The following is a 15,739-nucleotide window of genomic DNA, read 5'->3' as shown; positions in this document are numbered from 1 at the left end:
AAAGGCCAATCCTTACCATATTCCAGTGGGAAAGAAGACTTAATATTTAGTTAATTACATTTGTCCTAGTAAGCCTGAAATTCCTATTGACTCTCCAAGTTCTCAATTTCTATTGCTCATAGGTGAGTTTATTGACGGATCTTACTGAACACTGCAGTCCTCACTACAGTGCACACTGTAATTCAATTGCCTCTAATATAAAAAATTCTTAAGTTCAGCTCTGTAGAATTACAGGGGTCAAAAGTTACAAACATGTTCCTGCTGCTTCTGCCTGTCTGTAATTTAGTTTGTAACCTATGTCTCAGAAAATGTCTGGCATGAAATTTGCTTTTCTTCAAAATAAAGAGGAGTTTGTATTACTTCAGTTGTTACAAATTGCTTACACATATATCATTATTCAGTCCTCTAAGTATCATTATCATCCCAAATTTACAGATGAAGAAATGGAAGCCCAGAAAGTCAGAGGACCAAAGTTACTCAATCTACAAATGTGGCCCCCAAATACAAATATAGATGCCCTATTTCACAGTTTTAATTTTTTTGCTGGCAGCCACTTTGAGAACACAAACTCCAGAGGCAGAGTTCTAATGTGTGAATCCTGGCTCTGGCCACTTGATAGTTGTGTAGTCTTAGTGAAGTTGCTTGCTATCTTTGTGCCTTACCTTCCTCATCTGTAATGCGAGAATAAGAACATTATAAATATAACTCCATATAGACGTGTTGTCAATATTGTGGTAACAGCCTAGCCATGTAGAATACTATGATAACATTTAATTTTTAAAATATCCTCATCATTATGCAGGACAGTTCTCCATGTGACCTTGTACCTACCTAGTTTTCCCACTTTCTTGCTTGTAGTTCTCACGAATAACTGCAGAAAGTTCTGGGAATGCAGCCTCCTGAGATACGGAGGGACTGCCTGCAAAAGCCCAGGTCTTGCTCCTGTCTCTCCTAGGAACTGTAACATCTTGAGTTAGGGAAGAATTGTTCAGGACAGCCTGGGCTTTCGGCTTTGTTCCTTAGAAGCAGGATGTCTTTCAAAGCTTTACTGAGTGAGTCACATGGTTCCTGAAGTATACAACTGGGCTGGCTGTCTTTTGGGGTTCTTTAGCTATGGTGCAAATGGGGTTCACACAGTCAAGACTCCCTCTGCCTTGAGCAGCTTTCTTGAGTCTTAGACCACCTCACAATGAATACAAAAATTCTTTTGTCCCTTGCTGCCTATCTGTAACTAATAAATCCACTTAGCATAAGTTGTTGTGTGTATGTTCTGTTTCACCAGCCTCAGACATAGTTAACCAGTGCATGGTACAGAAACAATAGCCCAAGATACTGTAGGCATAAGTGTATATGGACTTCTGTTGCTGGTGGTTGGCACAGTGATGATCTTTGCTATTCTCCAAACAATGGGAGTCTTCCCTTGGGATTGGTAATTAGCAAACCTACTTTGCATACTTTGCACATTAATTACTGATTTTAAGGAGACTTTTTTTTTCAGACATCTTTATCTGTTGCTCCAACATCAAGTGGCTACTTTCTCTGGTATGAAACTCTCACCCTGTGAAACACTTCTTCATTATCATTTTTGGGAATTTTCTTTACCTCTCCCACGTGTTGGAAAAACTCTTCCGCATCCTACTAATTTTTCTTCTTTAGTCCTTATTAGAGAGAAGCAACTGATCTCTTAGTCTCTTTAAAAGAAAGAGTGCTTGAGAAATAAAAGCATTGAGAACATATATAGATGAAAATGCCATTATTAATACTTTACCTGGTTATAGAATGTGTGGCTACATTTACCGACTATAGAAGTGTAGCCCTCACTGTCTTTGAGATTCTGATCCACCGCCATTCTGATCACCAAACTTTTCTAAGTGACTTGCCACTTGTCTCCAAGTATATAAAGGGTGATTGGTGGGCCTTTTATCATTCATTGTGCTGGACACATTTGGGGACATGAAAATCTCATTTTATGACATTCAATCTGGGGAATTTTTTTTTTTTTTTTAATTTCTTCAGTTCCATTTTCTCTTTCTATATTGCTAAATGTCTATTTAGATATTATGTTTTCTGGGTCAATGTTCTCAATTTCTCATTTTTGTTTTCCTGTTTTCTACTGTTTTCTTGTTTTTTACCTTCTCTGTGATTTCATTAATTTATCATCATTTTTGACTGTTTTGTAAATCTAAAAAATTCTCCTATCATGCATATCCAAGAGCTTTTTAAGGTCACTGAATGTGTTTTTTGTTTGCTTTGTTTCTATTTTTATTTTTTATGTATGTATGTATGTATGTATGTATGTATGTATGTATGTATTTATTTTGAGATGGAATCTTACTCTGTCCCCCAGGCTGAAGTGCAGTGGCATGATCTCGGCTCACTACAACCTCTCTCTCCCAAGTCCAAGCAATTCTCCTGCCTCTGCCTCCCCAGTAGCTGGGATAACAGGCATGCATCACCATGCCTGGCTTTCTTTTTTTTTTTTTTTTTTTTTTGTATTTTTAGTAAAGACAAGGTTTTACCATGTTGGCCAGGCTGGTCTTCAACTCCTGACCTCAAATGATCTACCCACCTCGGCCTTCCAAAGTGCTAGGATTACAGGCATGAGCCAGGGTGCCTGGCCTCTCTATTTTTAATTCTCCTTTTCTTCTTTCAGGGTTGTAACAATTTATCTTATCTCCTTAAAGACTCTACTAAGAACTTATTTTTGATTTTTGTCTCTATTGTTTCTCTTTTCTCTGAGATTTTTTTATTATTTATTTATATGCTTGTGTGTATTGAGGTCACCCTGGTATGTTAATGGTTATGTTGGTTTCTTTTCTGTTATGTGTGTATTTTAAATTTTGTTTTGCATTGTTTTGTTTCTTCATCTGATATCTTTTGATTCAACTTATATTAAATATTAGAAGACAAAATATTAACTCCAATCTCTATGTTAATGTGTAGGGTTTGTTAGCTGTTATACTTCAATTTAAAGGAAGTTTAATGATTTTACTTTTGGGTGTCTGTCAACCTTCGCTATGTATCTGTAGTGTATTGGAGCTGAGTATTTCACCAGAGCCGACTCACCCAATTTCCTGACTGAGTGTTCCAGCAGTAGGGAAGTGATTCAGAGAAATCTTATTATTCAGTATAGGATTTCCATTATTTCCCTGATTTTATTTGTGATATTACCAAATTTAAATATGGCTGGTATCTCCTAACCTAATTATTGGTTTTTCAATATCTCCAGAGAGTAAACTTGTTTTTACCCCTATCTGTACCATCAAATTCAGTTAAATGGAACCTTCAGTTCCCATAAACTTCTGAAATGGTTTGATCCCAATCAGCCTTCTTCCAGGCCTCCTCTGAGCCAGTTTATATTTCAGGAACCTCTGCCCAAAGTCAGTTGTCATTGACCTATCTGCTTTCCAGCTTTCAAAAATGTGCTTTCGTTTTTTTGGTTTTTGTTTTTCATTTTTTTGTCCTTGTGGCTTTATGCTTTATCTGCTTACAGTGATTTGAATGAGAATCACAAGACCTAAGCATGAGCAGTCAGTCACAAAATTTGACAATATTTTTCAGTGTAAGAGAATGAGAAACAGTTATGGAAATTAGAAGTCCAAACCTACCTTTGTCAGACTGTGGTCCCCCAAACTAGACATCTATAAGCTCTTTACACCTAATTGCAACCATTAAAAAGTTCCATTGCTCCAAAATCCTAATCACTGAAGTGATTGCTAGAGCAGCTGCCAAGAGAAAATTACCATGAAATCAGTAAAACATTGATTTGGTCATTAAATGGTGACAAACATTACTAATCAATATTCCCCCAAAATGCATGAACTAGAATGTTCTTCACATAGTGATGAAGATAGGCCAGTCACTAGCAGTGACTGTTAGCCCTTTCATAAATTCACTTATAAGCTGCTATATCATGCAAGGAAGATTGTACATAGAGATTAAAGCATCTCTCTCAGCTATTTATTAGAATGTCATTTTTCTGATAATGAAAATGAGGCATATGATAACATTCTTTGAAAGTTTATGAAGGTTGACTAAGACAATATGTGTGAACACAACAAGAGTTGTACACATAAGGCACTTAAACCTCACGGTGCAATGGTCTTGCTCTGTGGCTCTTGTCCTTCTTGATTTCTTGTTCTCCAGCAATGTGTGTAAAACAGTGTACTTCGCTTGAAACAACAGTCTCCTGGCTTGACTTCAATATAAAATCTCACTCTGTGTATCTCTTCATGGTATTGAACTAACTAGCAAGGCGGCAAGAGAAAATGACAATTTCATACAAAACTCAATGTGTTGAGATAAAGGGCCTGTCAGAATCTCATTCCCTAAGGGAAGAGCAAAGCCTGCACATCAGCAAATGAGCAGCATAACAGGCCGTGCTCTGCTGTGAACTGGAAGGAGCTGGGCCAGCTTCTGCCCCCAGGTGTTCATTCACAAGGCTCAAGGCCAAACACGTGAGTCAGCCAGGGAATGGGAATCCATCAGGGCCCAGCCAGCACCCTGTCGAGCTTGGTTATGGTAATTAAATGAATCTGTCTTAATATTTTTACGGATAAAATAAGAAGATAATTATTTATCAAATTTTTGTACTACAGTTTATTACTCAGTCTAGAAATAGATCTTAACATTTTGCATGACATGAATGAGACTGAAAAGTGATTTGAAAAATGAAACCTTTTAATCATGGCAGCTAATTATCTTACAGTTTCTTTTCTGCTCTCCTGGATTTCTCTCATGTCACCCCCACTCCTTATTTCCTAGTCTTTCCCTTATTCTCAGCCTCCCACCTTCACCCCCTCAAATCTGGCTTTCCAGGCATCTTTTGGGAGCACAGAACAGCCATGTGTGACAGTTCGCAACTACTTTAATTCAGATTTTTCTCCTTTCATGTATTAGATGAAAATTCATGCATTAGGATAACCACAATGCAAACTTTATGTTATCCTCCGTGACTTCTTAGATTCATGGTATAATTAAATTATACCGGTAATTGGGCAGTAGAATGGTTTAAGGAGAGATACCGGTGTTTTATTTTTTTAATCAATTACATTCCTTTTTCTTTTTTAGAGGAAGCCACCAGCTGGAGCCAGGATCTAATCATATCCACAACCCTCCTCATTCCTTCAATAATTCACTTATTCATCCTCTACTAGATGTCAAGTTGTGTGCTTGGCTCTGAGACCAATAATCATAAGTTTTTTTTTTTCTGATTTCAAAGAGCTTATAGGTAGAGTCAAGATTTAAATGCATGAATTTGGAGTACTATAGTGCTCCCAAAATAGCAAGTATAGGATTCTATATGTGCAAATTTGGAAAAAATTTTGATTGCTAGGTTTAGAAAAGTTTCAAAAAGGAGATCAGGCCTGATAAGAATCTTTAAATGAAAGTAGCAGCTCACCAGATGGATCCAGGCAAAAGCAGGAAAACTATAAAATTTGTAAATGTGAAAAAACTTCGTTCACTAGAAAAAACAAAAACAAAAACTGCATTTAAAGATTTCTGGAAATTCATGTTTGTCCCTATTTATAACAAGCAAAAAAGAAGACCTAATAGTTGTTAAGTCCTTCTGTGCCAAAGGATAGAATTCAAGATTTGAGGAACATGATACAGGTCTTTTTGCAGATAACTGTCATGCTAAATAGCATTTTTGAAAAAAAAAATTCTCTTTTTTAAATTTTATTTTAAGTTCAGGGGTACCTGTGCAGGTTTGTTACACAGGTAGACTTTTGTCATGGGGGTTTGTTGTACAGATTATTTTATCACCCAGGTATTAAGCCTAGTACCTATTAGTTATTGTTCCTGATCCTCTCCCTCCTCCCACCCTCCATCCTCCTATAGGCTTGCTAACTGAATTGCATTCTAGAAAGATCATTCTAACTACAGTTTGGCAACCATATGGAAATACTGGAGGCAGGCACACTCATTTGATACCTACTGCAATAAATCACGGAGAGGTAGTCAGGGACTGAAGTAAGGTTGTCACAGTAGATACCAAATGGAGGTCATTCTTACAGATAATATGAGAGTATAGACATAAAATGGAAATGAGAGAGGTGGAGGAGTAAAGGATTATTTTGAGGTTCATGGGTGAGATTAGAAGCACAAAGAGAACAAGGAAAATTGGTGACTTCTGTTGTCAGTTTTGGATGTGTTTTATTAGGTAGTATTTCACTGTTTAATTATCTTCATCTTCTTGCAGATACCAAAGGGATTGAAGCATGATAGTTGAAATCCTGGCTTTACCTGCTTGAAGCTCTGTTATTTAGAGCCAACCAGTTAATATCTTTGTGCTTCAAATTATTCGTGGATAAAATAGGATCAATTTTAGTATTTAACTTATAGGTTTGTATATAGTTTATTGGCAGGCTTGGCATATAGGAAGCACCAACAATGTTTATTGTTGCTGTTGTGTTGATGTTATACTTACCACTATCATCACTATGTTTGGGTGGCAGTAGAGGGAAAATATTAAAGTAATGGCAAAACCTGCAATTACTTTTGTACCAAGCTAATACAACTGACATAACTTAATCCACTGCAGCACATTAAGTCCTCTCTCACTTGAAGTGCCCTGCTGCACCCTATTACAGCATTTCTTCTAATAAACTTTCCTTTTTCTAATCTATATTGTTGTTGGTAAATAACAACCCACGAGTCAACCACTTCCAATGATGCTGATGCTGGGGCTCTGACACTTTTTTTTTTTTTTTTTGAGGCCTCTTTTATCTTCCTTATCCTGATCTAGAAAATAGTACCTCAAAGACAAAAGAAAGTAAAAATACAACATTTTTAAGTATTTGACAGAGAAAGTTTTACCACAGCTGCCATCTGTTCTTTCTGAGAGCTACTACCTCTGAGGTTTCATCAACCTAACAATACAGTCTTTGCTTGCCTTGTGACATGATTTTGGCTGTGTCCCCACCCAAATCACATCTTGAATTGTAATTCCCACGTGGCAAGTTTTATCTTCCTTATCCAGATCTAGAAAAGAGTACCTCAAAGATAAAAGAAAGTAAAAATATAATACGTGCTGTTCTTGTGATCATGAGTGAGTTCTCATGAGATCTGATGGTTTTAGAAGGGGCTTTTCCCCTTTTGCTCGACACTTCTCCTTCCTGCTGCCATCTGAAGAAGGGATGTGCTAGCTTTCCCTTCTGCCATGATTATGTTTCCTGAGGCCTCTGCAACCATGCTGAACTGTGTCAATTAAACCTTTTTTCTTTATAAATTACCCAATCTTGGGTATGTCTTTATTAGCAGTGTGAGAACAAATTAAATACACCATGCTTCTTATACACAACCCTTCTATAGCTTGTGACACTACTTCCCAAAAACCTCCAAACCTCTGTTATTTTATATTCTATAAACTTCAATGATCTGGCTCATCCTTTGAGTCTTACAGCTGCGAGGCTCCCATACCTATATGCATGTTCATCAATTTGGACCCATTTTTTTCCTGTTATTCTGTCTATTGTCAATTCCTCGTAACAATCTTAGATTTAATCCTTCAGAGAGAAGTTTTAGACTTTTCTATACTACATTTCTTTCTGCTACCAAGCCTTCACAAATCCTGTATCTTCAGCTTGGAGTCCTATTTTTACTGGCTAACTCCTATTAATTTCTTCTGTGGTCTGTTCTTACAGGAAGTCTTCCTTGGCATTTTACATATTGACTAGGGGTCCCTTCTCTACATTTCTATGGATCTCTGAGTTTATATCATCAGTAGACTTCTGTTAGGCTAATGATATACTTGTTTGCTTATATATGCCCTGCAATTTGATTTCCAATACTTAGCATAGTTCTTGGATGAGTGTAGTTCCGGTAAATAAAGTATTTCCATTTGTTGTTGGATGTTGTCGATGCCCATGACTGACAGTATTATTCCCACTTCTAATTAATGGTATCAGTAAAGTATCTAGCTCAGCTACACTCTACTACACTATGCAAAAAAAGCATGGAGATCATTCCTACAACATCAGGGGTCCTCTCTCAGCTGTGGCCCCTAATTTTATAAGTTGTCACTTTCTCTCTTTCTTTTCTTTTTTTTTTTTTTTTTTTTTTTTTTTTTTTTTTTTTTTTTTGCTTTAAGATAGTTAATTCTAGAGAACAACTATGACTGTTCTTTTTCCCTAATAGGAATGTCTCACTGCTTATGGTGTGGTAAAGGAAGTGTGTGAGCAAGCAAAGATCAATGGAGTCATGAATGGTTTACAGAGCTTGGATTTCCCTCTAGTTTGTAGAGAGCCAATGAAGGCTTTTAATTAAGGGAGGAACAAGGCTAGATTTTCATTTTAGATGGATCGCTCTTCCACTTCTGCAGAAGATGGATTTGAGGAGAAAAGTGAGAAGAGGCAGGGAAGTCAGTAATAAGGGTATTTAATACTGAAGACCAATATATTAAGGGTCTGTCCCCAGAGTCAGCAAATTTTTTTTCATAAAGTGCCAGGAAGTACATATTTTAGGCTTTGTGGGCTGGGCCATATGATCTCTGTCCCAGTGACTTAACTCTGCCTCTGTAGCTGACAATGTAGACAAAATATAAATGTATGAGTTTGTCTGTGTTCTAATAAAACTTTCTTATGAAATGTAAACTTAGAATTTCATCTGTCACACAATATTATTTTCATTAGTCACATAATTATTATTCTTTTCATTCATTCCAAGCATTAAAAATATAGAAACCATTCTTATTTGTTGGCTGCACAGAAACAGTCAGCGTGCTAGATTTGGCCTATGTATTATAATTTACTGACACCTGGCATCTACTATTTATTTGTTTGCAGAAGAGAAGAAGGATTTTTATAAAGTGCTGATAGGTACTAGGCTTTGATTTACCAGTAATTCATGAGTTCCTAGAATAGTATGCATCAAATAGTAAATATCCAAATATGTGTTGAATGAAGATAAATATATCAAAACTTGGTGACATCAGATTCTGGCCAGGAAGAAAACAAGAATAAATGTCATATTTTAAGTTGGTTGGTTCTTCTGCTCAGGACAAAACATTAGCTGACTTTAAATTGATTAGGATCATCCACTAAACCTCCATGGTATCCAGAGTTTTTGTATCAATACTTCTAGAACTATTGCTGACTGAAAAGTTATCTTACTAATATGTTTTCTGAAGAATATTTACCCTTTCACTGGAGATTACTATGAGCTTCCCTTAGTTGAGACATTTGGTTTAATTTATTTTCACTGCACTGGAGAAAGAAAGACATATTTCTCAAAGATTTTCATTTGGTATTATTATTATTATTATTAGTTTGAAATATAGACAATAGCAGTCAGGGCCACAACATGGAAAATAAGGTGGAAAAATTATGTCACTTATATTACTATTTTTATTCTCTAATTTAACTTTGTCTTAGGTTTCCCAAGGCCAAAATGAAGAAAACCGTTGAAGTACCCTTTATATTACTTTCCCTTTTCTCCCATTTCTTTCCTTCCTTCCATTTTGTTTCCCACATATTCCAATGACATCTCCAGGCTTACAGAAAATTCTCCCTCTCTCTCTCCTTTCCCTCCCTCCTTTCCTCTTTCTCCTTCTCTTTATTCAGACATTTATGTCCTTGAGACTTCTGGTTTCCAATAAAGTAACATGACTAATATTTAAAGTGTAATTTATTCTGTTTCTTGGTAGATATATACTAATATTTTCAGAATATAATCATATACCCTGAATCCAAAAAATAACAGTCAAAAAGAAAACAAACATATAAATGTGGCATTGTAAAAATTTGTCTGCCAAGAGTCATCCATGAAAATCATCTGGGGCAAAATGTGATGCCATTTTGGTTCAATCAAATAATCTAGTTTAAGCAGTAGAGCTGCATTTTCAGAGTTGTCACATGATGTGGGGCTCACAGAATTTTAGTTTTGTAAGATAACCAGACTTTTTAAATCTAAGAGATCTTTGAAATTCAGAACTAGAAAAAAAATGTTACAAACTTCTAATTAAAAAATGGCATTGGGGAATGCAACAGTCTGATTGGGTCAATTGCTTCCTGCCCTAGTTTTATGAATTGAAATTACTTCTGCTTACTAATGGCATTTGAAAAAACATTAAACTGTTTCTACATATCAAGGTTAGACAGGTTAATGAAGAACAGGGTCCTCAGGCATCATTGTTTATAAAATTTGAGCAACCATGTATGAGTAAAAGTAGGATATTACGACATTACCATCGCATGAAGTGTTTTGAACATAATTCTATTGAATTAATCGCTAGCATTCTTTTTCTGGTGATTAATTCTCTTTTTTCTTTAACGTTCCCAATTTCTTAGAATTCTTATCCCAATTCTGACCTATTTTCTGTTTTTTTCTCTTTACTTTTATTTTTAAACTCTTTATCTCTTTACTTTTCTATATATGTAGAAAAATGTTTTCTAAGTATTTGTGTTAATTGATTAAACTATTTTCTGTTCAATAACTAAAGTCATAAACAAAATTATATAATCCCGAATACTATCTTTTGCATCTCTCTAACACTTAAAACAAGGGAGAAAAATTTTTAAAGCAGGTTTGGAAGACATAGAGATCTCATTTGGATCCTGGATTCCTTAATTCTACTTTTCTAAAAACTAAGAAACAAAACAAAAAAAACCCTTAATTCAAACTGGTTTAAAAACTTGTAATGTGTATTCATTTTTGTTAGAATTGAGTGCTTAATCCTCTCATTAATTAACACCTTTTTTTTCAATATGTTTATTAAACCTGTGTTATAAAGAAGGTACTTCGTTTGGTATATTTCATGATAAAAAAAAAGATCTTAAGGCATAATAACCACCTTAAGAAACTAAGAAGAGTTGAATGATAGATGTACGTTTATATCTTCATATTAGTATATGATGCCAGGCAATACAAATTGGAAATATAAAATCCTTAAAAACACAAAACTAAATATTGATCATAAATCATGGAAATATTTGAGTGGTAGATACAAATTTGGTTATTCTAGAATTTCAGGCAACGAAAGTTTATGTAATTGATTAAAGTTTGAGAAAATAGAGCCAATAAGGCACAATGAATTTATTTTGTAGGGGTATGGTTTATGGACGTTAATCTTGAGCTATGATATGGTGAGTAAAAACAGATAGCAATGGAAACATTAGAATGATAAGTTATGTCATTTCTATTTTTCCTTAGGAGTATTTATGGACCTTAAGCCAGGAGCTTAAGGGTAATTTGGACCATACTAGCCACATAGGTCATGACAAATAATCACATTTGTAGTAATTTTGGTGCCTTAACGTAAGCAAGTGTTGTACAGTGAGTTTTGGCATGGCATTCCAGAGATGTATAGAAATTCTAGTTACTTATACATTTTAAGTTTAAAAGAGGTCTGGAAGCAGATACTGACTTTAAATACTAGCGAAGTTTAATTACTTCTACATTCCCCAGTTTTGCGTGTTTGAGGGTCACCAGGTGGTCTTTGCTCCCTTCTAAATTCCTCAGATAAGGAGTTTTCGTCTCTGAGGCCTGTTCAGTGGTCACTGGGTGATTTATGCTCTTCTCAGTAACCACTGTTTACCTCACTACTGTAGATTTTCTCTGCAGTCAGAAATCTCCCCCACAAGAGAACAATTTTTCAGAGCTATTTCTGTGGATTGTAGCCCCTCTAAATAGTCATAGCAAAATATGTCAAACACGTGTGAACTCAAAAGTATCTGAGACAGGTCTCGATTAATTTAGAAAGTTTATTTTCCCAAGGTTAAGGACGTGCCTGTGACACAGCCTCAGGAGGCCCTGAAGACATGTGTCCAAGGTAGTCGGATCACAGCTTGCTGTCACACATTTTAGGGAGACGTGAGACATCAGTCAATATGTATAAGATGTACTTTGGTTTATTCCAGCAAAGTGGGACAACTCAAAGTAAGTCTTCCAGGTTATAGGTAGATAAGAGACAAAAGGTTGCATTCTTTTGGGACTTTGATCATTCTTTCACTGAATACACAACTTACATGAGAGAGGAGGGTAGAGGGATAGTCACGTATGCCTTTAGTCTGACTCACTGAATATGCATTTTTACGTAAATGATAGGACAGAGGTAGTAATCAGATATGCATTTGTCTCAGGTGAGCAGAGGAATGACTGAATTCTGACTGTCCTTTGTCTGGCACCTGTGAAATAAGCTAGTAATTTACATGGCTTGGGTAAAATTCAACAGAAGTGTTTGAGGGTAAAGATCTTGAGGCCCACAAGGAAATTCCTGTGGACAAATCGTGAGGGAGATGTGTAGTTGTTTTTAATTTGTAGCTAACTTATATAAGAATAAAATAGGAGGCAGGTTTGCCTGATGCAGTGCCCAGCTTGACTTTCCCTTCTGGTTTAGGAAAGGAAATAGGAAAATAAATCTTTGGATTTATACAGAAATATATACAGAAGTATATTTTCAAGTAAAATGTGCTGGTTTCCTTCGGTTCCCCATTTGAAATTTAATTTTCAGAAAGTTTCACGTAATAGAGAAGAATTGGTAGCTATGTAGAGATTTGGGTTAAAAGTTTTGAGACAAGAGAGGAGAAAGCATATATAGGAAAAAGCAGGGAAACAACATCTCAAATTTGAATACATTACCACATACCTTTTTCAATCAGTCTATTCGTCCTCCAAATAGGTCAGTTCAGTTAAACAGCTCTGTCTCTTTTCAGGAGGAGCATTGCAGATGGGACCCATCAAGGTTAGGTCTCTTTGCAGTGTAAGAATAAGGAAATTTAAAAGAGACTTTTCTATGTAAACAAACAAAAACTCGCAAAGCCTAACGTCTGGAGTATTCTCCAAGCTACTTTCTGAGTCTGAATAGCAGCTCACTGAGAAGATTTCTGAACCTGAGCTAAAGTATTTTCAGCTGGAGCAGAGCAGGCAGTGGCAAACTGACAGAATTTCCTGGTTTGCAGTTTCAATGTTATAAAGCTTGTCCATCTGCAAGCCATCAGGGTAATTTCTCTGAATTATATTTATCAAGTTGACTAGCTTCAGCATTCAAAGCCTCAGGAAAAGCAGTTTCAATTTTAGTGAAAATTGAAAAAAATCAGAAGGATGGGAGGAAATTTGAAAAATATTAGTTTGGAGATTCAAAGCTTAATATTGAAAAAAAAACTAAAAGAATTCAGTATCTAGTCCAGACTGTAGATAAAGAATAAAATCCTCAAAATAATGAGCTAGAATCTAATAACAGATGTACTATACTTGCCTTTTTTAAACACAATTTTTCTCTCAACATTCACTCCCATTTCTACCAAAGATATTTAGTCAGACTAATTCGTTTGAAACATAAGTTTAGTCTCATTCACTTGACAAGATTATTTGCATAAAGTGTAACAAGAACAGTGATTGATAATATAGGCTTTTAAAAAGCTGGCTTTGCTGGAATTTTTTGTAAGTGACTTCAGGTTAGATTTTTAAAAGGCCTGTGAAGGCTAGGAGCCAAGAGAAAGCCTTACCATCTGACTGCATCTGTAATACTTCTACAAATTGGTAAATTTCTCTTTTCTCAAAGTTCTCAAAATATTTTGAAATTCCTGGGCCTGTCAGAAAGTTACATTCTTTACTTATCATAAAGCCAGTAAACCTACAAGGGAAGGGTGTAGACAAGGTATATGAGGCCAGTTTTTCTGAGGGACTTTTACTGGCTTTATGATTCACTTCGGTTCCTGAAAGCTATCTGGTCAGATCAGAAAATATGACATTATTTTCAAAACCTTGGTGAAAGAACCAGATTTCCAATTGTGTGCTGTTAACAAAGACATTCTTATTGAAATTTTGCAAATAATTATATTGCCGTAAAATAAGAATACTCACGAATAAATTCTAAATTCTAGAGAGATTAGGTAGACAGGAAGGTAAATATTTCAATTCTGTTTACAATAGTATGCATTACCAAATTGCTGCAAATTATATATAGGTTAAAACAAAGTTAACTTAAATCTGGAAAATTAAAAAATAATGAGCAATGTTTTAAACAAAAGCACATTAAAAATTATAATTTTTTGTCAGTTCAATCCCATACAATTAATTCTTATTTTGCTTAATGTTAGGTTAGCAGTTTTTTGACCCCAGTTTTGTTTTAAATTAGATTTCTGGAAATTTAGACTAATAGCATAGACTCAAAGTTATTAGAGCCCTGTATTTGTTAGGGTTCTTTTTATTCTTTCCATATACAGATATACTTCATTTTATTGGATTTCATTTTATTGTATTCTGAAGATACTGCATTGTTTACAAATTGAAGTTTTGTGGCAACACAGTGTAGAATAGTTCTATTGGCTCCATTTTTTCCAACAGCATGTGCTCACTTCATGTTTCTGCGCCACATTTTGCTAATTCTCATAATATTTCAAACATTTTAATTATTATTATATCTGTTATGATGATCTGTGATCAGTGATCTTTGCTGTTACTGTTATAATCTTGGAGGGTACCACAAACCACACCCATAGAAGGCAGCGAAGTTAATTAATAAATATCAAGCGTGTTCTGACTGCTCTACTGACCAGCTTCTCCTCAAGCCTCCCTAGCTATCTCTTGACATACAAAAATATTGAAATTATGACAATTAGTAACACTGCAGTGATCTCCAAGTGTTCAAGTAAAAGGAAGAGTCACATGTCTCTCACTTAAAATCAAAAGCTAGAAACAATGAAGCTTAGTAAGGAAGGCATATCCAAAGCTGAGATAGGCCACAAGCTAGGCTACTTTCACCAAACAGCCAAGTTGTGAATGCTAAGAAAAAGTTCTTGAAGGAAATTAAAACTGCTACTCCAGTGAACATGTAAATGACCCGAAAGTGCAGAAGCCTTATCGCTGATATGGAGAAAGTTTTAGTGATCTGGATAGAAGATCAAACCAGCTGCAACATTGTATGAAGCCAAAGCCTAATCCAGAGCAAGACCCTAACTCTTTAATTATATCTAGGGTGAGAAAAGGTGGCTACACTAAACAACAGATTATCAATTAGATGAAACAGACCTGTTGGACTCTCATAGCTACAGAGAAGAAGTCAATGACTGACTTCAAAGCCTCATAGAAATGGTGAGGAGAGGCTTTAAATGGCTGGCTACAGACACTTAGCACTCATCTCCTGCATAGAAGGACAGTGAGTAGGTAACCACACATTGAATACAGCATTTAAGAGAGAACACTGGAATTCTGCAGGGAAATGACAGGGAACATGGAGACACAGGAAGAAAGGGATGCAAGGCAGCTGAACCAACTGACATTAGCTGGGAGCCTGTAGTGGCTCCCCAGTGTAGGGAAAAGGTAACTGAGCAACTCCTAGAGTTCCACATTTTCACTGAAAACTCCCACAATCCTAGCCATAAGAGAGCCCCTTGGTTATTGCAGGCCCTGAGACTAGGATAGGCAGCTGTCTGGAGTCTGAGTAACTACACAGTTCCAGAGAAGGAGTTCATGCTGGGTCCTACACACCTCTTGAGACCCAAGCAGCTGCTGAATGGAGACATTATGAGAGCCCACCCTCCACCAGACTGTATCCTGCATTTCCACATTCCTGGAACCCAACTGACATTTTCGCATGCCCACCTGGAGGGCTACAGAGACAGAACACCAGCTGGCACTTCCAGTGTATGTAGGGTCCTGAGAATTCTATCTCACACAATGTTCTGCACCCTGGGGAATGATGGGTGCAGCACACCAGGGAGGCTGCAGCTACGACAAAAGGAGCTGGAGCACATGCTTTCCAGAGCCTGCAAGCTGCCCGACTAGGGCTGCTGCCACT

At 36.2% G+C, this 15,739-nt stretch overlaps 1 long non-coding RNA gene across 3 annotated transcripts in view; it reads right to left on the bottom strand.

Moving 5' to 3' along the window:
- The window catches only part of LOC105374557 (uncharacterized), a 485,690-nt gene that overhangs the window by 154,823 nt on the left and 315,128 nt on the right, over positions 1-15,739 (bottom strand). The window contains exon 1 of one of the 3 annotated variants that reach the window (NR_188399.1): positions 12,587-12,826. The exons of the other annotated variants lie outside the window; for them this stretch is intronic. This is a non-coding gene — a long non-coding RNA (uncharacterized LOC105374557). Of the gene's footprint in view, positions 1-12,586; positions 12,827-15,739 lie in introns of those variants that run through there. 3 annotated transcript variants of the gene reach the window in all.

This window comes from Homo sapiens, chromosome 4 (genome assembly GCF_000001405.40).
Source record: "Homo sapiens chromosome 4, GRCh38.p14 Primary Assembly".
Taxonomy (NCBI): Eukaryota; Metazoa; Chordata; class Mammalia; order Primates; family Hominidae; genus Homo; species Homo sapiens.
The sequence above is the reverse complement of the archived record's forward strand: the minus strand, read 5'-3'. Positions and strand labels throughout refer to the sequence as shown.